A 24,708-nucleotide genomic window follows, 5' to 3' on the forward strand; every position below is an offset into this window, starting at 1 on the left:
CCTCAGGTGATCCATCTGCCTCAGCCTCCCAAAGTGCTGGGATTACAGGTGTGAGCCACCATGCCCGGCCAATCGCTCTCTCTTAATTTGCTATCTTAAATAGGAGCATCTACTGTTTTATAAGGCATGCTTGGGATTTCCCCCGTCTCCTTTCGTCTCTAAATCTTGGACCTTTCTTTCAAAACCAGAGAGGTGCATGGGGTATTTTCCTTGACAGAAGATCCACCCACTTAAGATTTCCAACTTTATCAATAGTCAGAACTTTTGAAGTTATAATATTTCATTTCTGATCAAAGCATTAGATAAAGCTTCCCCTCTTATGTCTTTGTAAGCAAAAATAATATATTGAAATAATTGATACCTTTCCCATATTAAACTCTAGGGGTTGTTCCCTCCTCCTTTCTGTTGTAGAAAAAATACTTTTGTGCCTATTATGTTGGTAATAACAATTCTCACAATTAAACTCAAGAAAGCCTTGTTGGCTGATGTGGACCTGCAGAGGCAGTAGACATGTAGCAAGAGAAAGGAAATTTAAAGACAATTAAAAAATCTTTACTGAGATATAATTCACATACCATAAAATTTACTTTTTTTTTTTTTTGATACTGAATTTTGCTCTTATTGCCCAAGCTGGAGTGCAATGGCGTGACCTCAGCTCACTGCAACCTCTGCCTCCCGGATTCAAGCGATTCTCCTACCTCAGCCTCCCGAGTAGCTGGATTACAGGCATGCGCCACCGCGCCTGGCTGATTTTGTATTTTTAGTAGAGATGGGGTCTCCCCATGTTGGTCAGGCTGGTGTGGAACTCCCGACCTCAGGTGGTCCGCCCGCCTTGACCTCCCAAAGTGCTGGGATTACAGGCATGAGCCACTACGCCTGGCCTAAAATTTACCTATTTAAAGTATAAAATTTAGGGGTTTTTAGTATATTTACCATGTTTTAAAACCATCACCACAACCTAAATTTAGAACATTTTACCACTTTCCAAAAGGGCAGGTACAGTCACTCTCCATTCTCCTCTTTCCCTCCAGTCCTAGGCAGACACTAGTCTATTTTCTAGTCTATTTTCTATTGCCTGTTCTATACATTTCATGTAAACGGAATCATATAATTTGTGGACTTTTGTGACTGGATTCTTTTACTTAGCATAATATATTTACCGTTCATCCATATTGCAGCCAAATAATATCCCATTGTATAGATATACCATGTTTTATTTAACCATTCATCAGTTGATGGACATTTTGGTTATTTCCTTTCAATATGTATAATGCTGTTGTGAACATTCCTTTATAAGTTTTTGTGTGGACGTAGTCTTGCAGTTCTCTTGGGTTTATAACTAGTAGTGAAATTGCTGGATCACATGGTATCTCTATGTTTAGTCTTTTCAGGAACTGCCAGACATTTTTATAAGCCAATGTAGTATGGTTCTAATAGCCCCACATTATCACCAACACTTGTTGTTACCTGGCCATCATTGTGGTGTGAATTGGTAGCGAGAGATGAGATTTTTTTTTGTTTGTATGAAAGGGAAACATGAATTGTTAAAAGGTAATGAAACTTTAGGCTAGGGTCAGTAATCAGGCAAAAGTTGATTACCTGCTAAATAGAAGAGGTCTGTGTTATACTGTGGTCTCTGTTGAAGGAGATTAAAATCTGTTTGGGGAGTTAAGTTATAAAGATATAAAGAGAAAGCTACCAGTTAGGCAGTATAGTAGACATGTCAGAGGGATGCAGGCTGACTTGTCGCTGCAACAATCCCAGAGTCTCTCAAGTAGGAAGTGAGGCTTGACTCAAATCTGGAACCAAGGGTAAAAGGGAATGGCAGAGAAGATAACATTTTTTTTTTCTATTTCTCATCTTCACTTCAAGTGGTGAAATACTACTAACCAATCTAATATTAGGGTACCTAAAGGAGTTAATTGGTTCAAAATTTTTTAAAACATTAAATAAGCAGAAAATTCAAAGGAATGATGCATTGAGAAAGGATAAGGTGAAGTCTTGAGAGTAATTTCAAAACTGTTACTAACTTAATGGTTTGCCAAGATTGTTTCAGCCCATCTCCTGTACTCAGTATCCTTTAGCAGTGATCTGAAAACCATATTCTGTCTGTTTACTCATTCATTTAAACAAACACAATTTATTTAAACTTCTTTTTTAAACTCTGATTAAAATACAAAATAGCATCATTATAACATAACTGCTTTCAACAGTATTAATATGTTTTATTTTGAGTTGTAAGATATCTGAAGAATATTAAGGGGAGGGTTATTTTTAAAATTGGTTACATTCATTACTTGATTTTCTATGACCTATTTCTTTTTAATTAAAAAATAATTTTTTTAAACTCTCTCCTAGGCTACATGATTCCCTGAAAGATAAGAACAATGTTATGTTGGGGATATTGGTCTCTGGGCCAACCTGGTATCAGCACCAACCTGCAGGGAATTGTGGCTGAGCCCCAGGTGTGTGGGTTCATATCTGACAGAAGTGTCAAGGAAGTGGCCTGTGGGGGAAACCACTCTGTGTTCCTGCTGGAAGATGGGGAAGTTTACACATGTGGTTTGAACACCAAGGGGCAACTGGGCCATGAGAGGGAAGGAAACAAGCCAGGTAAGTGCACCTTATCTGTCTTGATTATTGGTGAGAATGGAAAGTTGGAGGACACAATGGCAGAGGGCCCAGATGGAGCTTTCTCCACCAAGTGTTCGGTTTTCAGGGAGGCTCTTTTGAACGGTGCAGGGATTCCTTCCTGTTTGGAACCCTTGTGTCTAATTCAAGCCTTTTGATGGAAAAGCAGACTTTTCTTTTCTTTTCTTTTTTTTTTTTTTTTGAGATATGGTCTCGCTCCGTCGCCCAGGCTTGAGTGCAGTGGTGAGATCTTGGCTCACTGCAACCTCCACCTCCCAGGTTCAGGCAATTTTCATGCCTCAGCCACCTGACTAGCTGGGATTACAGACATGCGCCACCACAAGACTTTTTATTTTTTATCTTCTTAGAGAACATATGTAATATCAGTTACCTGGGGAGGGGAGGTGACTAGTTAGTTCAGAGTTAGAATAAAATAGATTTTGCCCGTTGTATTAGTCGGTTTTCACACTGCTGATAAGACATACCCAAGACTGGGCAGTTTAGAAAAGAAAGAGGTTTATTGGGTTTACAGTTCCACGTGGCTGGGGAGGCCTCACAATCATGGCAGAAGGTGAAAGGCATGTTTCACATGGCGGCAGACAAGAGAAGAGAGCTTGTGCAGGGAGACTCCCATTTTTAAAACCATCAGATCTCTTAAGACTCATTCACTATTATGAGAACAGCACAGGAAAGACCTGCCCCCATAATTCATTTACCTCCCACTGGATCCCTCCCATAACATGTGGGAATTCAAGATGAGATTTGGGTGGGGACACAGCCAAATCATATCATCCAGTAATTTAATGCTGAGAAATATGACAGTTTTTTGAATAGGTAATCCTCACACAATCACTATCAGAAACTTTACTTCCTGATTACCTATATTCATTCCTTTGTTTCTGCAACATGCTCTTACATGTTTTGTGCTAAGCAATGCGATTGCTGTTATGAGTGGAGGGATGAATGAGATATGGTGATGATGTGGCTGCAGTGATCCTTATGGCAAATGCTGTCATGCAAGTCTGTGTTATGTAAGTTGAAGAGTACACCAGAGGTGTAGGGGAGGGGAGATTGGTTCTGCCTTTGGGTGTTGAGTAGCACTTTGGTGTGTGTGTGTGTGTGTGTGTGTATGCATGTGCACTTGGGTGTATGAATGAATGTGGCAGCATCACTAAGCTTATTGCACACCTGATACCCAGTGATGTGAATATAAAGGTGCAATACTTGTTCAAGGCATGTTGAATAGTGTGGTGAGACTGGGAAGAGAGGGTGATGGAAGAGGATAAGCTGGAAAGGTAGGGGGACTAATTCGTTTCCTTAAATTTCAGTGCTTTTAATTGATTTATAACAGGTGCTACACATATTTTAAGCTTGTTGATTTTATTTTTTTCCACCTATTTTTACATTTTTTTTTGAGACAGGATCTGGCTCTGTCGCCCAGGCTGGAGTGCAGTGGTGCCATCTTGAGTCACCGCAACCTCCGCCTCCCAGGCTGCAGATATCCTCTCAGTCTCAGTCTCCTGAGTAGCTACAACTACAGGCATGTGCCAATACACCTGCTAATTTTTTAATTTTTGTTTTAGTAGAGACGGAGTTTTGCCATGTTGTCCAGGCTGGTCTCAAACTCTTGAGCTCAAGCAATCTGCCTGCCTTGGCCTCCCAAAGTGCTGGCATTACAGGTGCGAACCACTGTTCCTGGCCCTATTTTTACTTTTAAAGAATCTAAGTTTGACTTTCAGTATATGTGTAGCATGGATTTATAAGGTCCTCTTAGTAGTGAGGATGTGTAAATGAATCTTCTTTTGGTGAGAAATTTTAAGGTAGGGTCTTAAATTGTGACCACATATTTGTCACACTAGCATAGGTGTTTGCCCCTTTTTTTGTTACCTGCCATTCTTTTCATTCAATACAGATCATTCCAGACACTGAAGCTTCATTAAAGAATAACCTTACAGTTTTTTCTAGATGATTTTATCATTTTATTTGGCATCAATACGAATTAAATTTTTTCTGTGACACTGTCTCCCTCTTCTCTCACGTTTATTATTCCCTTCCATAGTAAGTGACCATGTTCCGTAGTTTCCCTGCCCAAAATGTCAGTGTAAATTTATAATCGTTAATTTTTATGTTGCCCATTGGAAAGAGGGCTGCAGGGCTTAGGCACAATTGTGAAGGATGTGAAGTGTGGTTGATGAGCTTCCAATTCCTCATTCTTTGCCACCAGGTTCCTTCAGGAAGCCCGCTGTGAGAAATGCACCAGGCCTACTCATCTGGGGGCAGTACCCCATGTTCTAGTCAGGGGTTTCTTAACCTGAGGACCCTGAAATCTTGGGATTTCAAGGAAGGGGTTTGTAGAGTCATCTACAGATGAACACCATTCCATGTACAGTGCACTCAATACTATAGGTTTTCAAATTATTCTGTTGTTTACTAAAATGAAAATTCAGTTGAAAATGCCACTAATTCAGAAATTAGTAAATCCTATTTATTATGTATTTTACCAATTAATAGAATACAAAGGTATCATATACAACTACCATGGAGGTGGCAGGAAGAAGATTGACTTTTTCAAATGGTCTTCATACTGGAACAGATTAAAAACCAAGTCTTCTTTCTTTTCCTCCTGTTAAAACTCACTTGTGTCTCACATTAAGCTCCTAAATGTGCCCTCTGTTTCCCTAGGCCAGAGCCAGTGTCTAACAAGTAATGCATTTGGAGGGTCATGGCCCAACAGTCTACATTCAGCCAGGATTTAGGAACTTCATTCCAATGATCTTTGAAGGACTTGTACAACTCTAGCCAGCCTTTGAAGGGAGTATTTTGGGAACTGGGAAGAGATCTTTCTAGTCCTCCCATGGAGACAGCAAGGTTATGGTGAAGTTTGGAATCAGATAAAACTAATGGAGGCATTACATCTCTAATCTAAAATGAGGATTATAGTCTAGGTGTGGTGGCACACACCTGTAATCCCATCACTTTGGGAGGCCAAGGCCAGAGGATTGCTTGCCAAGGAGTTGGGGACCAGCCTGGGCAACATACAGATGCAAAAAAAAAAAAAAAAAAAAATTAGCTGGGCATGGTGGTGTGTACCTGTTGTTCCTGCTACTTGGGAGGTTGAGGTTGGAAGGTCACTTGAGCCCTGGAGATCAAAACTGTGGTGAGCTGTGATTGCATCATTGCACTCCAGCCTGGGCAACAGAGCAAGACTCTGTCTCAAAACAAAACAAACAACAACAACAAAAAACCCCAAAATAAATAAATAAATAAAAATGGGGATTATAATACTCTTTCATAGGTAGAGTAATCTGTGTAAATATTGAATGCAGTGTCTGGCAGTTTTATATCATGCCTCAGAAATTATGCTACCGTGCAGTTTCACCATCCCGTGTAAAGGCTGATACTGTCTCTGGAGTTACAGGGAAAGAAGCCTAAGCTGGGAGTTTGAGAACTGGGATCTAGTTTTTTATCTACCAGGAAATAATTGCCTGTCCCTGGGCAAGTTTCTTCCTATTTCTGAGTCACAGTTCCCTTTCCTGTAAAAGGAGTAGACTTCCTGTTCTAATCAGATAGTTCTTGGTGAAGGGGATTCACATGATAAAGAAGACACCACAAAACTGCTGGTAGTGTTACAGACAGAGAAATATGTTACAGGAAAGGGGTCCCGATCCAGACCCCAAGAGAGGGTTCTTGGCTCTCTCAAGAAAGAATTCAGGGCAAGTCCGTGGTACAAAATGAAAACAAATTTATTAAGAAAGTAAAGGAATGAAAGAATGGCTACTCCATAGACAGAGCCCTGAAGTCTGCTGATTGCATATTTTTATGGTTATTTCTTGATGATATGCTAAACAAGGTGTGGATTATTCATGCCTCCCCTTTTTAGACCATGTAGGGTAACTTCCTGCCGTTGCCATGGCGTTTGTAAACTGTCATGGCGCTGGTGGGAGTGTAGCAGTGAGGACAACCAGAGCTCACTCTCGTGGCCATTTTGGTTTTAGTGGGTTTTGGCTGGCCCCTTTACTGTAACCTGTTTTATCAGCAAAGTCTTTATGACCTGTATTTTTTGTTGACTTCCTGTCTCATCCTGTGACTTAGAATGCCTTACCTGGGCCAGGTGCAGTGGCTCACGCCTGTAATCCCCGCACATTGGGAAGCCGAGCTGGGTGGATAACGAGGTCAGGAGTCCGAGACCAGCCTGACCAACATGGTGAAACCCCATCTGTACTAAAAATACAAAAATTAGCCGGGCATGGTGGCGCGTGCCTGTAATCCCAGTTACTCAGGAGGCTAAGGGAGGAGAATTGCTTGAACCCGGGAGGCAGAGGTTGCAGTGAGCCGAGATCACGCCACTGGCACTCCAGCCTGGGGGACAGAGCGAGACTCCGTCTCAAAAAAAAAAAAAAAAAAGAACGCCTTACCCGTCTGGGAATACAGCCTAGTAGGTTTCAGTCTCATTTTACCCAGCTCTTGTTTAAGATGGAGTTGCTCTGGTTCACACGCCTCTGACGGTAGCCAGTGATGGCCACCCTCTTCCCACCCTCCTTGTCTGTCTTCTCTGTGGCTTGGTCTTCTATCAGGCAGCCTCACTGCAGAGTCAGTTGCTCAGATATGCCTCAGTGCACACCTTGGTCTTGGAACTTGGGGGAGAGGATTCACCCTGGGGTAGCAGCTGGGAAAGGAAGCAAAAACCTCGCAGAACAATGATAGCAAAGATCTGTAGAAGGCATCATAATGAATACATCTGAGTGCAACGAGACATTTCTCTAGCACAGCCTCCTGATGCAGCTCCAAGGAGCTAATGGTAGGTGTTGCTGGGCCTCTGGATGTGAGTGAGCTCTGGCAAAGCAGCCGCACTGCGTCTGTCTGCATACTGGGTCAGCTGGCCCTCAGTCATCCTGCAGACGCCCTCCCCACAGGGCTGAGTGACTGCAAGAATCCCAAGCTAGAGGTGTGCCAAGAAGGCTTTGGGATTCAGCCTCGGAATCCAGCCCATGCTTGTGATCTAAATTTGGAATAAGGCAGGCTGTAGTGTAAATTACAAGAGATTCCAGAAATTTCTGTTGTTGGTTAAGCTTGTCTGTTAATTATAAACTCCATAGCAGCTTGGAATAATGCCTCTTTGAATGGAAAGATTATGTGGGTGGGTGCCTCCCTCTCTCCATTTAACTTTTTCGTTGGTAGGTGTGTTCTAAATCTGGATATGATTTGCGTTTGTTTTTAATGAGTGGGAAGAAGAGAATGAACTTGTTTTCTGTGTTTGCTTATTGAGAACCATGACCTGGAGAGCTGCTAGACATGGAAGGGAAGTCTGTGGCAGGCCTAGTTTGTTACAGGTATCTGTTGGTCTTGGCCCACAGGAATGCTACCCCCAAGTAGCTTCTGTGGTATTTGGGAAGGGAACATGATGGAAGGCCCCTTCCTTAAAAGAGGATTTTTCTGGGGGTTATGGGCAGGTCTGTGATTTCAGCTTGGTATCATTGCCCAGATTGGTTGACTTTGAAATATGAAGGATTTTAAAAAGTGAGTGTATGACTGTTCCTCTAAGGCTTTGAGAGTGTGAAGAAGTGAGTTGAAGGAGTTAATTCCATGGTGGCCAACTCCAAGTGGCTTACAGAGTTTTGAACCCAAGTGGCAAACTTAAGTTTCTTTTTCTTGCTTTGCAGTACTGGCTGTGAATGGAGTAATGCCTGACCATCAACACTTACTTTGCTGATTGGACTTGTTAATATTTCTAGTCCTAGCAGGGTGTCCACCAGCATGGGTATGGTCATCTAGCACTAGTCTGGAGGAGAATTTATTTCATTGCCTTGAAACTTTGTTTCCTGTTAAAATGCAAACAACCCTGGGAGCCACATAATCTGACCTTCCTGAGGGGAAGGAAAGTTGAAAGAAGGTACTGGTGTAGGAGATGCACCTGGACAAGTCTTCTAATGTGTGCCTTGATTCTGTCCTGCTAGTCATCATATACCATGTTATACACTCTGTCTCTAACTGGTTCAGCTGCAAGGCACATCAATTCATTTTTTTGGGATGCATTCTGTAGATGTGCCAGAGCAGTGATATAAAGCACCTCTCAGTGATTCTAAGGGTTTTGGAGATCCTTTTTTTCCTTCTTAAGAATATGTAACAGTTAACTATTGCTGTTGCTGACCCTGAGACTACTGTGGTTTCTTTGTACTCTCATTTCTGTACTTCTCACATTAGCAATACCCTTATGTGACCAACTGTGTGTGTGTGTGTGTGTGTGTGTGTGTGTGTGTGTGGTAAGAAGGAGGCATTTCAAAGATACATCAAATTCTGAAACTCCTGGTTATTCAGGCCCCAGATATTTTCCCAGTGTGTCAGGCAGCACACAGAGTTCTAGCTTAGGTGTGTCCATGACTCATTTGTGATTTGGCCAAGGGCATAGAGGCCTGTGATTCCCAGAAGCATTTTTCAGATGTAGTATATTAAGCCCCATCTAAACTCAATTTCCAGCTTTAAAAAAAAGTATTGGATTATAAGTCTTTTGCACATTCCTCTCTCACATGACTTTTCTCTCCTTCATTCTCACCTTTGCATTCAGACATATACCTCATCCCTCCCCGACAAAGCAGACAGAGTTTTTGTGATTGGAGTCATCATAGGGTTATTACTAATTTCCTTATGGTTTTTGTCCATGAATTTATTTTATAATTTTCTAAGACATAAAGTTACAGAGCTGGCATTTTAGGAAGTCTTGTGTGCCTTCCCCACTTTTTTTTTAATAAAGCAAGCAAACAAAACATAAGCTTTTTTTTCCTGAATGTTATTTTTTATAAGTGACTAAGTGGACATTAAGTAAATCTTGAGCTCTTTTATTAAACTAGAGACTGGTTGTCCATAGAAAGGATTCAATAAATACCTTAATTTACCATGCCTCTCATATTCCTACCTAGCCACATTGTAAACAGTACTCTTCAGCTAAATGAATAGTTCTCCTTTCCTCATACATACTCTGATTTCTAATATTGGGATTTTAGGGTAAGCTAATCTCTGTGTTATTAGGGATATCTGAACTTACATAAGTGTCTTCTAATCTTTCTCCCTATCTTGAATAGACAAGAACCGTGGTAGGGGCAGTTATTTAGTGTAATCTAATTTGACTCTGCTAAATTTTAAAATTCTCTGTAGACATACCAGGAAATCTTCTTATAGCAGAGCCCAAGGGTAACAATTTATAAGCAAGCTCTAACATTTCTGTGCAACTCTATTTGATTCATCTCTGTGATTGGTTCCTTTTACTTTCTCCTGAGTTAGTTTCCCTCTTGCAGGTAATTTAATCCAATTCACATTCGCACTTTGTATTCAGTCTAAGCATTTCCCTAATGCCCATCACCATATGTAACAGCTTTCCTGCTGTTTGATAAATGAGGTTTATAAAGCAGAACGTCCAAAAGCTTCAATTCCCAAACTGTGCTTGCTTCTAACCATGGTAGAAGTAATGCTTTCAACCAGCTTCTCAGGTTGCTCTCGGGCATCTGAAGGGCGCAATAACTCTGTCATGTTAATCAGCTCTTGCTGAAAAGCAAACCAGCTGAGCTGAAAGGAAATAGAAGGGACCCTGTAATGACTTCCTGTTATTGAAGTGCGTGTTTCTATGGGCATAACGCTGATATAAAAGGCAGAATGTGCCATAGGAAGTGTTCAGATCTCAACATTGCACTTGTTAGGGCCCCATCTGTTCCTTATTAGGAATGGCAGGTGGTTCAGGAGGCTGTGCACCCCTTTCTGATTTTGGTGATAATGGTTATAATCAAAACTAGTAGGATGTCTTGCCTCCTTTGATAGCTAGGTAGATGACTTTCTGGTTCAGAGGTCTAAGGATCAGGAGAAACTGTCATTTAATAATTTTATTGTGGGATAATTGATCGGAATTTTTTTTCTGTCTGATACTCAGCCTACATTCTATAAAGATACTTGAGTGTTTTAGAAAATGTGTACTTATTAATGAGCATACTTGTTAGTGTGAGGTATTTGTGACTTTTAAAAACCTGCAGTATTACTTTTAAGTAATTAACAAAATGGTTTGCTTCGTGAAACAAGAATTTTAGTTAATTTGTTAATTATAAAAGTGGTTAATGATACATATATAAGCTCTCTTTATTTCTGATATGCTTAGCATTTTTAAGCTGATTAATCCTCATGATAGCTTTGTAAAGTAGGTCAGTATTATTATCCAAGGTATATGTAAAGGAGGAAAGAAAAGGGAGTTGAGTTTGAGTCTTGCTTAGGTACTGACAGTTTGGGTTTAATAATCCTAGAATTTTGTTCACAGACATTTTTGTAACCTCAGGCTGATTGAGAATGGCTGATAAGATTTTATTGTCAAACTTGTTTACATTTAATTTCCACTCAGTACTTATTAAAGAAACAAAAAAGATATAAACTTGCCCACCCAGAAGCTTGTATTCCTTAATTTATTGTTTAAATACAAATATGATCAAGGTACTTTGGTAAAAGGTACTAAGAAACAATTCCCTTTTTATCTTGAAACCCATTAGACTACTGTTTGTCAGCTGCCTTTTTAAGCTCTTTTGAGCACCAAATAAAAAGCACACATGATAATTCATATTTCAGGCTGATGTATTTTGTCTTGCTATTTGCCTCTTGTTCTTTGTTTTTTTATTTTCTTGAATTATTTACTTCTTATTCAGTCACTGATTCAGCAGACATTTACTGAGTGACTAAACTTCTAGATTCCTCATTTGTTTTAAATACTCTTACAACACAACAAATTAGTGCAGATCCCACCCTTTGGGCATTTATAGACCAGGTGAGAATATAAGATATACCCAAAAAGGTTATATCCTGCAGTTCAGCAGGTGTCAAACAGGTGATACAGGTCCTATGTGTGTCAAAATAAGTGTCCTGCAGTGAAGAGATAGGTCACCAACAGTACTGAATTCTGAATTCTAACAAATGTCATCTTCTATACCTACACACATTATAAGGTTCACATTTATCTTAAGTTTGTGAGCTTGTTGGAGGAGCGAATTGTAACATTTTGGAGAAGGGGCAGCTTTGGAGATGGTTTCAGGATTCTAGGGATGTTCAGCGATTTTTGTAAATCCACCCTTTAATTCTGAATTTTTGTGTTACAATAGCAATTTTTTAGTTTGGCAATTTTGATGATTTCATCTAGGTTGGTGATCTATGATCTTTATAGATCTGGGGTAGGTAGAATGTTGTAGTTTATCAGCCTGAATGGGGTATATCTGGTCAGCTGATATTTTACATCTCTTCAAGGGCTACTGGAATTCTTTGTATGTCTTTTTGAGTGAATGCCATTTGTGATAGCATGTAATGTTGAAATCTTTGATAACCCTCTAACAGATGTATGGTCTCATATCCTTGTAGACTTTCCATCATTTTTTCACTTATTATTAAAATATGCATTGAAATTTCTATTATAATTATTAACTGACTTGCAACAACTGAAATCATGATTGTGAATAATTTTAATTTAGAGTATTAGCTAATTATGGAGGCAGTATAATGAATAAGAGCATGGACTAGCTGTGTGACTTGGAGAAAGTTGCTTAAACTCTACATGTCTTAGTTTCCTTAGTTGTAAATGTAGATAATAATGTCTACTTATTAGGGTTGTGAAGATTTAATACATTGCCTATCAGATACTTGGAATAATGCTTGGCTTATAGTAAACACTCAATTAGTACTAGCTATTATTATTTATTCTTATTTTTAATTTGAAAAAATAATTGCTGATCTCTATTTCATTCCAATTTTAGTGTATATGCTGCCAAAGCAAGTACTAGCTATTATCATTATTTGTAGTAGCAGTAGTAGTAATTTGTGTTGACACTTTTCATTACAATTGTTTTTATCCTGCTATTCCAGCATATTAACAAATTAATACATTCATGACAAATACATACAGTTTCTAGATGTATACAAACATATACATCTATAAATTGTGTTGGTCACTTTTATAGATTCCCTTAATACTACAGGATCTGATGAATGATATGGACATTCAGCTGAGGAAGATGTTATAAGTTAGGGTTGTTAAGGGAGAGTTTATATTATGTTCATTTTTATTTTAGGTTTTAAAGGATAAGTCTATTTTCTTTATTGTTAATTTTTGCAGTTCTTTACTTTATTGTTCTCATGAAAAGTACCTTACATATGTTGGGTACACTGTAAAACTGATTATCCACATATGGACATGCATACATACATCTTCTCTCTATGCAATTGTTACCATTACTTCCAGCATTCTCATCCAAAATGGCAAAGATAAGGGAATCAAATTAGGTCGCTGTGGGCACTGTGGTACACCAGGGACTACTTTATGGTGCTCCTGAAAGTCTTGTAGTGGTTTGGCACCAGTTAGCTGGGTAGTATGATCTTGTCATAGGCTTAGTAAATAGAGTGCAATCCACTGGCTCCTAGCCCAGCTGAAATCTTTGGGCAGTTACTGTAGACTTCCAGTTAGCTGTGATGGGGGTGAATCTTTGGATGGAGAGATAAATGACCTGAAAGAATGCAAGTGATTTTCCTTTCTGCATCCTTCAGTTGCCTAAGAAGAGCTCACTCTGGAGTCTAAACCTACATGATCTCTGTTTTTGTTTGTTTGTTTGTTTGTTTGTTTTAGTGGTAATGTATTAGTCGCTATGCTTGCAGTTTCAAGTAACAACAGAATGCTAAGCTGTGTCATGAACAATGAGTAAAATTTATCATCTCACATGAGAAGAGGTATTTCTAGGATAGGCTAAGTCAGTAGCACAGTTGCCTCATGTGTTTCCCATCTTTCTGTTCTGGAGTGGAATTTTGTAGTGATGCAGAGATTTATTCTTCCTGCCAAATCTCTAGCCTACTAGTGTGGGTGTAAGATTTTTCTGGGCCTCATTTAAAGCCTGCATATATTCCCCAAGTGCTTTACCAGCCAGGGTCAGCCTTGCCACTATGCCATGTTTTTTTGGGCGCCAGAATTGGCTTGTTATGTTGAAAGTATTATTTTCTCTCATGATATTTTTCTCCTTTAGTACGCTTCACTATTGAAATGCCTGTAGGCCCAGCTTCCCAGGAGTTTGAGGCCAGCCTGTGCAATATAGTAAGACCCTGTCTCCAAAAAAAAAAAAAAAAAAAAAAAAAAGAAATTGAGAACCTTCTCTGAGGACAAGTCACAACAGCATCTCAGCCTGTTGACTCTTTTTGGGAGTTGTTGGTACTGCTAGGAAGAGGGTTATAAGGTTCTATCTCATTTTCTTCTTTTCAAAGTCATACTAATAAGAGCTTGCAGAGAGCCCTTAACAACAACAACAACAAAAACAAACAAAATCCCCAACATTTTCCACTTCAAATAGATTTGTGATTAGTTTATCACATTAAAGGAGTCTTTAATTTATTGGTTTGGAATTGGCCTCATACTATATGAACTGTGCTGATCATGATGAAATTAAGTAGATTGTGCTGATTGAAACAGCAAGTTCTACATTCTGCCTATACACAGAGGCTGTTTGGGCACAAAGTCAAAATAGGGAGGCTGGGTGCAGTGGCTCACGCCTGTAAGCCCAGCACTTTGGGAGGCTGAGGCAGGTGGATCATGAGGTCAGGAGATCGAGACCATCCTGGCTAACACGGTGAAACCTCGTCTTTACTAAAGATACAAAAAATTAGCAGGGCGTGGTGGTGGGCACCTGTATTCCCAGCTACTCGGGAGGCTGAGGCAGGAGAATGACGTGAACCTGGGAGGCAGAGCTTGCAGTGAGCCAAGATCGCACCACTGTACTCCAGCCTGGGCGACACAGCGAGACTCCGTCTAAAGGAAAAAAAAAGAAAAAAAAAACAGGGAGTGCAGAAAAGTGGGGACCATTATGCCCTTAGGCAGCAAGTCCCCTGGTTTCCCTCAAGGAAGTGGAGGCAGCAGGCAGGCAGTGAATGCTGGGTCTCCTCCAGGACGAGCTGGAAGCGAGGATGTTGAGAAAAAGCTGGAGAGAAAGGAACGATAGGAAAATGGAGATAACAGTTGTGCTGAACTCACCAGGAGGCACAAATCATGTTCTCCTTTCCCTTCAGATGAGGGAAGAAGGCTGAACTAATTATGGAATGTTTTTATTTTCTTTGAGGTGCTATGTAATAGGGATACATTAAACCAGGTTAGCCATGAATAAGAAACTGGAAGTTTATTGCAATGTCTTTATGAGTGCCAGCCTGTGCTTTATTCATCTTTCTGTTCTTCATGACTCCCTAAGGTAGCTTTTAAAGTAGAAAAGCAATGGGGAATGCCTTTAGTATTTGCAGTGTAGAGATATTAGTGGTGAATGGGCATATAGTCATTCTGGCTATTAGAGGCTTTCCACTGATCACAGAGGGTATAATTCAGATTGGCTAGCTACCTTTCTCCTTTCTTCTCTACCCTTCTAATTTGTCATAAAGCCTTTGCTACTCTTTCATATAGAGTGGAACTCATCTTTGGTCAAGGATTTGTAAAGAGCTGGTTTTTTTATTTCTGAACTGATAAAATGTGATTAGGAGTGGGAAGGGGTGGGTCAGTGCCTGGTGAGGAAAGAGAGATGTTTCCCTTACCCCAGATCACTGGACGTAGGTTGAGTGGAAGGAAGGTACCAGTACATTCCACCTAAGGTTGGGCAGGACCTCTGTACCCACAGAATTCCTTTTCCTCAGCATTTTGTGAACTCAAGAAAAACAAAACAAAGTCATGTTTCATCTCCTTACTGCCACGCTTTTGTTAAACCACTTTATGAATTACCATTTAACTGCCTTGATTTAGATATTTTGGGTCAGAAAACAACTAACACTATTTTTAAGTTTGTTCAGTTTAAATGAACCATCAGCTTTGGCAGGCCACACCTGTTCCAGCCAAACAGAGGTGTCTGGAGACCTTCTTAGACTGACCTTGTGTGTCCAGCCAGGGGAGCTGTAGTGCCTGTGGATGGAGTTAACCCATAAAATTGCATGACAGAAAAGACTGGAGGGAGCCAGAGACTTCAGAATTTATTCATCCTTTTCTGTTTTTAGTTTGTTTGCTCTGTGTTCCTTCCTGTGGCTGGTCATCCTGGCGAGGTAGAGCCACAGGCCAAGAAGGAGCCATGTCTTGAATTCTTTTCACGTTTTCTGTTGTTCCTCTTCCCTTAGATCATTCTTGACTCTGAATATTATATGTCACTGCTCTGTGTAATTTGCATATTTATATAAAGTACTAGGACACTTTGACTTATTTTTAGTCAGGCTTTCATGCAGAATTTATTTCTGGTCAAGACTGCATGGCTGCCCAGGTCAGTCAGGCATATGATAACAGGGCATTTCAGTGGGAAATGATGCTTTACTTAATAAATGGTGTTGGTATAAGTGGCTGTTCACCTGGCATACAGAACTAGACTCCCTACCTCTCTCCATATTCTAAAGTAAATTCCAGATGTATGAAAGACATGAATGTAAAAAGTAAAACTATAAAAATAATAGGAAAAAAAATTAGGGGAATGTGTTTACAACCGTGAGGGTTTCAACGTGGTCCTGAAGCCATAAGAGAAATGATTGGTAGGTTTGCATGAAATTTTAAAATTTCCTGTGGCGTAAGGCATCCCATAACGAAGCCAAAAGGTGAGTGATAGACTGGGAGAAATAACTGCCAGACGTTGCCAGACAAAGATTTCATATTTCTAATATGCTAGAGTACCTTTAATTTGATAAGAAAAAGATAAGCAATCCTGTAATAAAATGGACATTTTACAAAGGAGTGCTTGCAAATGGCCAGTGAATTTATGCAAATATGTTCAGGGAAATAGGAATGAAAACGAGATTCCACTTTTTCATCATCCATTTGATTGGCAAGAAATTTTTAAAAGAGTAATACCTAGTGATCACTCATGTAGGAAAATGGGTTGTGCTGATTGAGCAGGTGTGAGCTGCTAAAATCTTGTAATACAGTCAACTGGCTGTTTTAGTAAAGTTGAAAATGTTCATACCTTTTGAATGAACAGTTCCATTTTTAGGAAGCTTATGCAAATAAAAATGTTAATATATAGCATAAGGAAATGTTTCTAAGTATGCTTATTGCAGCAATGCTGTTAATGGCAAAATAACAGAAATAGCTTACTCATCCTCTAGGGAATAGGTTGAATAAATATAACGGGTCACAAGATAAAGTTTTAAGTAGCATCTTTATACTGTTGACTCACAAATTATCTTCAGCCTCAACTACTTAATTTCAGACTTGATATTGACTTAAATTCTCCACTTGGATATGTAATTGCTACCTTAAACCTAACATATTCAAAGCAACACTGTTTTTTCTCCCTTAAACCTGTTTCTTACCCTGTTTTCTTCATCTCTGTAAATGGCCTTTCCATTCTTCAGGCCAAAAACCTTGGAGTCATCCCTGATTTGTCTTGTCTTCTTCTCTCACATTCCACATCTAATTTTTCAAGAAAACCCCCATCTACATAGGATCTGTCTTGAGAATATATATTCAGGATCTCATACCTCTTCTACCCCTCTTCCTGCCTCTCTGGTCCAAGTTACCATCATATCTCACCTGGATCATTGCAGTCATTTCTAATTGTTGTGCCTGTTTCCTCCCTTAATCCCTCTCTCCACAGAGTAATCATATTATCCCTCTCCCCAAAATCTTCCAGTGCTTTCTCAGCTCATCTCTTATGGCTCTTCCCTGGCATACTCTGTTCCTCTGGCTTCATTGGTCCCTCCTCAGAGTGTTTACCCTGCTATTCTGTAACTTGGGAACTATCTAGGACCTATGTTCCTCTGGTTCCTATATGCCTGATGCTTTTATTCCTTCAGGTCTCTGCTCCCATGGCACCTTATTAGAGATGCCTCCATTTACTACCCTGTGTTTCCTACCCTTCCCAGCACTGTATCCCCCTTCCTTGCTTTGGGCATTTATCCCTATCTGATATTATTCAGTCAGTCACAATCAATACCTCTCTTACCTCTTTTGTTTGTTTAAGCTCCACGAGAATAAGGGCATTGTTTTGTATCCTCAACACCTAGAACATTGTGTGGCACATAGTGAGTGCAGCTTTCAGCAAGTTTTTTTTTTGAGTCGGAGTCTCGCTCTGTCACCCAGCTGGAGTGCAGTGGTACGATCTTAGCTCACTGCCACCTCCACCTCCTGGGTTCAAGCGATTCTCCTGCCTCAGCCTCCTGAGTAGCTGGGATTACAGGTGCCCGCCACCATACCTGGCTAACTTTTGTACTTTTAGTAGAGACAGGGTTTTGCCATGTTGGCCAGGCTGGTCTCAAACTCCTGACCTCAGGTGATCAACCCACTTGGCCTCTCAAAATGCTGGGATTACAGGTGTGAGCCACCGTGCCTGGCCTCAGTAAGTATTTTTTGGATAAATGAATGATTATATTGTGAAACAAAAACTTTCTAATTAAGGAGTATAGAATCTTTTTTGTTTGTTTTACAAATAAAATCAAGCCCAAACTCTATTTTATAGAATTATTTTCCTTTAATTTTTCCTTCCTATGTCTGGTATGTGGAATTCATTTCTAGACAGGATCACACAGTTTTTGCTGTCAGGCATTTGCTTGATGGCCTGTAGTGATCTGCATGTCTTACATATGTGAAGCTGAGGAGAAAGAAAGGTCACCCCTAGAAATTCTGCCTGCATTACTGCAGCAGGTTTGTCTGATTTGTGAAATTGGTTGGAATTATGCCAGTGGTGCTAGGGACACAAATATGTTGAATATTGACATCCTACAGTGTGTTAATTCCCTTACCTAAATATGTATAAAGTTTCTTTTATAACCCTAAAACTGTAAGTATTCTGAAATTAGAAGCAATGTGACTATATCTGCAGTAGATAGTTGTACTTGCATGGCCATGACAGCCTGTGCACTCAAGTTTGGACCCATCCTCCACTGTGACACATTTTTGTTTTATAATAACAGTTATTGAGATACAATTTGCATACCACATGATTTACCCATTTAACATGTACAATTCAATGGTTTTTAGTATATTCACGGAGTTGTATAATCATCACCACAATCAATTTTAGAACATTTTCATCTCTTCAAAAAGAAACCACCCATACACATTAGCAGTCACTTACCTTTCCCCTTCAGCCCTGGACAACCATTAATCTACTTTCTGTTTCTATAGATTTGCTTATTTTGAACATTTCATGTAAATGAGATGATACGATATGTGGTCTTCTGTGACTGGCTTCTTTAATTTAGCATTTTCCAGGTCCATCCATGTTGTAGCATGTATCAGTACTTAATTCTTTCTTATTCCCAAATAATATCCCATTGTATGGATATACCACATTTTGTTTATACTTTTATCAGTTGATAGACATTTGGGTGGTTTTAGGTTTTTGGCTGTTATGAATAATGCTGCTGTGAACGTTTTTACACAATTTTTTGTGTGGACACATGTTTTCATTTCTCCTAGGTATGTACCTAGAAGTGGAATTGTTGGGTTATATGGTAACTCTGCGTTTAGCCTTTGAAGGAACCTTCAGATTGTTCTCTAAAGTGATTGCACCATTTTAAATTCTCACAAGAAGTGTATGAGGGCCCGAGAGATCTTTTTAAAATGTAGATCTGTTTGGCCGGGTGTGGTGGCTCACGCCTGTAATCCCAGCACTTTGGGAGGCAGAGGTGGGTGGATCACAAGGTCAGGAGTTTGAGACCATCCTGGCCAACATGGTGAAACCCCATTTCTACTAAAAATACAAAAATTAGCTGGGTGTGGTGGTGTGTGTCTGTAATCCCAGCTACTCGGGAGGCTGAGGCAGGAGAATTGCTTGAACCCGGGAGGCAGAGATGGCAGTGAGCTGAAATTGCGTCACTGCACTCCAGCCTTGTGACAGAGTGAGACTCCATCACAAAAAAACAAAAACAAAAATGCAGATCTGTTGATAAGAGTGCCTATCTCATAGGGTTATTGCGAGGATTAATTGAGATAAAACATATAAAGCTCTTAAAACAGTTCCTGGCATGTAGAAAGCAGTCAGTAAGTCCTGGCTATTATTCTTATTATTGATATAGTGGGTGCTCTATGTATAAGCTAGTTTCTTATGTAATGATGAAACTTAACATCAGATTCACCTGGGCAACTTCAGATTTCTGGTCGTCCTGAAGTTTTTGATGCAAGTGGCTAGGATGGACTCACATCAGTCATGTTTGTTCAGAAAAAGTTTCGCAAGGGATTCTGATGCTCATTTTTTGTTGTGAATCACTGCTTTAAAGATTCCACTCTGGGCGTTGCCTCTAGGAAGCTGTCCTTGGGCCTACTTAGGCTGGTTTGATTACTCATCCTCTGTCCTCCCATAATGTGCTATGCATAATTTTGTTACTGGGTTTACCTCACTATACTGTAATTTTTAAATCTGTCATCTGTTATAGCCTTTGAGTCACTTTGGATGAATGAATGAATAGCTCATTATCACTCAAGGCACATCTTGGATATTACCTCTTCCAAGAAGCCTTTCCTAACTCTCTCTGTCTCCCACTCGCAGTCTGGGTTCGTTGTCCCTCACGTGGGCTACCATTCAAACCTGCATGTTTCTTTTATTACACTATTGTGATAAACGTTGACCATCAGTACGTATGTCTTGTTTTCCTCGTCAGTCAAGGGAGCATGGGTGCAGAACCACATGTTATTTATCTTTTCACCCCTAGTATTTATAAAGAATCTTGTATATGATAAAGCATATATTTTTTGGTGTGTATGTGCTTTATTATTTTAAAATCAACTTTATTTAGATAATTTACACGCAGTAGGAGTCACCAATTTTAAATGTACAATTTAATGAGTTTTGACAGTCATTGAATCAGGTAACCACTACCACAATCATGATAGCATTTCCATCACCCCCAAAACTTCTCATTTCCCTTTATGTCAATTTAACATCCACACCAACTGTTTTGTTCCCCCTGCTTTTTTGTCACTATAGTTTTGACTTATCTAGAACTTTGTATAAATGGAATCACATATTATGTAGTCTTTTGTGTCTGGCTTCTTAGAATAATGCTCTTGAGGTTGATCCACATTGTTGCACATGTCAGTAGGTTTTTGTGTTTTATTACTGGGTGGTATTCCCATTTTATGGATAGAGTCACCAGTTCATGGACATTTGAGTATTTTCCCCCGTTTTGGGTTGTTTCGAATAAAACTGTTATGAACATTCAATTACAAATGTTTGTGTAGACATATGTTTTCATTTTTCATGAATAAACTCCTAGGAGTGAATTGCTGGTTCATATGGTAAGTGTATGTTCCATTTTATAAGAAACTGCCAGTAATTTATGAGAGTTCTAGTTGCTCCTCAGCATCACTTGCTATTGTCAGTCTTTTAAATTTTAGCCATCCAAGTTGGTATGTAGTGGAATCTCCTTGTCGTTTTAATATACACTTCCTTAATGACTAATGAACTTGAACAGCTTTTCTTGTGCTTATTTTTGCCATTTGGGTATCTTATCTTTTGCAGAGTGTATGTTCAAATATATGTCCTTTAAAGAAAACCAAATTGCTTGTCTTACAATGTTCTTTATGTGGTCAGTATACTGATCTTTTATCAGAGAGATGTTTTACAAATATTTCCTTCCAATCTGGTTTTCCTTTTCGGTTTCTTAACAGTGCGTTTTGAAGATCAAAAGTTTAATTTTAATGAAGTCTAATTTTCAATTTTTACTTTCACAGTTTATGCTTTTTGTGTCCTAAGAATTTTACCTAACTCACAGTCGTAATGATTGTTTTCCTAAGTTTTCTTCTTGAAATTTTATAGTTTAGCTCTTACATTTAGGCCTATGATCCATTTCAAATTAAAATTTTATATGTAGGTGATATAATGGTCAAGGTTCGTTTTTTTGCATATGGATACCCAATTTTCAGCATCATTATTGAAAAGACTGTATATCCCCCTGCTCCCTTGCATTATCCTGGAACCTATGGAAGACAGTTGGCTGTGTGTGCTCGTCTTTTTGTGGACCCTGTATTCTGTTCATCTACATGTCTTTCCTTAGTATTACACTGTGTTGATTACTGTAGCTTTATAGTAAATCTTGGAAGTATGTAGTTGCAGATAGTATAAATTCTACACCTTTGTTTTTATTTTTCAGAATTTTTTTTTGGCTATTCTTGGTCTTTTGATTTTGCATGTAAGAGCAGCTTTTCAATTTTGGAAGAAAAGCTACTGGGATTTTCATTAGAATTGCACTGAATCTGTGGATCAATTTGGGGAGAATTTACATTTTAACAATGTTGGATCTTTCGATTCATGAACATGGTGTGTCTCTCTCTATATTTTAGGTCTTCTTTAATTTTTCTCAGCAATATTTTTTACTTCTCAGTATACAGGTCTTACACATGTTTCATTTTAAATATTTCATTTTTTATGTTATACATGGTATTTTTAAACAATCTTTAATTTCTAGTATTTTGTTAGTATTTAGAAATATGATTGATTTTTGTATATTGATCTTGAATTACTTTGTTAAACTCTCTTATTAGCTCTATTAGCTTTTTTCTGTATAGTCTTAGGATTTTCATAATATCTATAAATCAAGCTGTGTGCCTATTATTTCATTTTCTTGCCTTATTTCACTTGGCTTATTTCACTCATTTGCCTTATTTTACTGGTATAGTAATGAATAGAAGTGGCAAAAGTGTACATCCTCACCTTGTTCCTGATGAATAGGAAAGCATTCATCTTTCACCATTAAGTGTGATGTTAACAGTAGGGTTTTCATGGATGTCCTTTATCAAGTTGAGGAAGTTTCCTGATATTTAGTGATTTTTTTTTAAATAAAAAATTTGTGTTGATTTTTTTCAAATGTTATTTCCAAACCTTTTGCAGTGATTGTGTGGCTTTTTATTTTCAGTCTGTTAAGATGGTAAATTGCATTGATTATGTTTGAGTATTAAGCCAACCTCTCATTCCTGGAATAAATCTCACTTGGTAATTTTTATATATTACTGTTTTTGATTTCTTAAATTGTGACAAGGATTTGTGCATCTCTGTTTATGAGGCTTATCAGTTTTCTTGTAGTGTCTTTGGTTTTATTATTAGGGTAATGCTGGCCTCATGAAATGAGGTGAGAAGTGTTCCTTCTATTTTCTAGAAGAGTTTGTTTATGTTAATTTATATTCTTTCTTTCTTTCCTTTTCCTTCTTTTCTTTTCTTTTTTTGAGACAAGATCTCTCAAAAGTCCAAGGCTGGTCTTGAACTCCTGGGATCTAGTGATCCTCCCACCTCAACCTCCCAAGAAGCTGGGACTACAGGTGTGCACCACTGTGCCTGGCTCCATGTTTTTATTACTTATAGACTTATTATAGATTATTATTTCTTCCTTAAATGGCTGGTAGAGTCACTGTTGAAGCCATCTGGCCCTAGAGCTTTCTTTGTGGGGATATTTTATTTTACTTTATTATTTGTTTTTTCAGCTTTATTGAGGTATAATTGACAAAAATGGTATGTTCAAGGTATATAAGGTGACATTTTGATATACATATACATTGTAAAATGATTATTTGTGGAGACATTTTATAATTTCAATTTCTTTGAAAGATATAGGACTACTTATCTTTTTCTTCTTAGGTGAGGTTTCTTAGTTCATGTCTTTTGAGGAATTTGTCCACTTCATCTAAGTTGTCAAATTTGTTGACATAAAATTGTTTATAATATTCCCTTATCCTCTTAGTGTCTGTAAGATCTGTTTTTCTGGTATAGCACTTGTATCTTCATTTCATGATTAGCCTGGGTAGATGTTAATAAATTTTATTAATCTTTTTAAATAATAAGTTTTTGGTTTCAATGATTTTTATTATTCTTTTTGTTTGTTTTGTTTTCTGTTTCAGTGATTTTTGCTGTTAATTATTTTCTTCTGTTCACTTTGTGTTTAATTTACCGTATTGTTTCTAGTTTCTTAGTGTGGAAACCTAAATCACTGATTTATAACTTTTCTTTTATTCTAACAAGTATTTTATGCTAAAATATCCTTTTAAGTATCATTTTAACTGTATCCCACAAACTTTAATTCCATGTGTTTTTGTTTTTATTTAGTTTAAAATACTTTGTAATAATTCCTGTATGATTTCTTCTTTGACACATGGGTTATGAGAAGTACGTAGTTTAATATCTAAATATGTGGCAATTTTGCTGTTATCTTTCATTTAATTATTTCTAGTTTAATTTTTCTTTCATCAGAGTACAGTTAGCTCTCCAGATCCACAAGTTCTGCATCATGGATTCAAGCAACCACAGATTGAAAATATTTAGGAAAAAAAAATTACAACAATAAAAATAATACAGATTTTAAAAACAATATACTATTGTTATTTATATAGCATTTACATTATATTAGGTATTATAAGTAATTTAGAGATTATTTGAAGTATATAGGAGGATGTGTGTAGGTTATATGCAAATACTGTGACATTTTATACAAGGAATTTTATATAAGGAATTTGAGCATCTATGGATTTTGGTATCTATGGGGGGCCCTGGAACCAATCCCCCACAAATACTGAGAGACAAGTGTACATATTTTGTATGATTTCAGTCCTCTTAAATTTAGTGGCCGGGCATGGTGGTTCACGGCTCTAATCCCAGCACTTTGGGAGGCCGAGGTGGGCATATCACCTGAGATCAGGAGTTTGAGACCAGCCTGGCTGACATGGTGAAACCCTGTTTCTACTAAAAATACAAAAAAGTAGGCAGGTATGGTGGTGCATGCCTGTAATCCCAGCTACTTGGGAGGCTGAGGCTGGAGAATCGCTTGAACCTGGGAGGCAGAGGTTGCAGTGAGCTGAGATCACGCCATTGCACTTCAGCTTGGGCAACAAAAGCGAAACTCCGTCTCAAAAAAAAAAAAAAAAAAAAAGAAAACTTATCTGAGATTTGTTTTACGGCCCAGAATATGGTCTGTCTTAGTGAATGTTCTAAGTGCATCAACGATCAAAAAGAATGTGCATTGCACTGTTCATGGGTGGAGTGTATTTATAAATGTCAATTAGTTGAAGTTGGATGATAGTATGTTGTTCATGTCTTCTATACCTTACTAATTTTGTATCTGCTTACTGTATTGATTACTGAGTGAGTA

At 38.5% G+C, this 24,708-nt stretch overlaps 1 protein-coding gene across 10 annotated transcripts in view; it reads left to right on the forward strand.

Annotated features, from left to right (window-relative positions):
* The window catches only part of HERC3 (HECT and RLD domain containing E3 ubiquitin protein ligase 3), a 184,697-nt gene that overhangs the window by 79,594 nt on the left and 80,395 nt on the right, over positions 1-24,708 (forward strand). For 7 of the 10 annotated variants that reach the window (NM_001375483.1, NM_001375482.1, NM_001375479.1 and 4 more), the window contains one exon: positions 2,359-2,613. The exons of the other annotated variants lie outside the window; for them this stretch is intronic. In NM_001375483.1, coding sequence (NP_001362412.1) covers positions 2,388-2,613 — 226 coding nt within the window. In that variant the 5' untranslated portion in view covers positions 2,359-2,387. The remainder of the gene's footprint in view (positions 1-2,358; positions 2,614-24,708) is intronic. 10 annotated transcript variants of the gene reach the window in all.

Source organism: Homo sapiens, chromosome 4 (genome assembly GCF_000001405.40).
Source record: "Homo sapiens chromosome 4, GRCh38.p14 Primary Assembly".
NCBI classification, from domain to species: domain Eukaryota; kingdom Metazoa; phylum Chordata; class Mammalia; order Primates; family Hominidae; genus Homo; species Homo sapiens.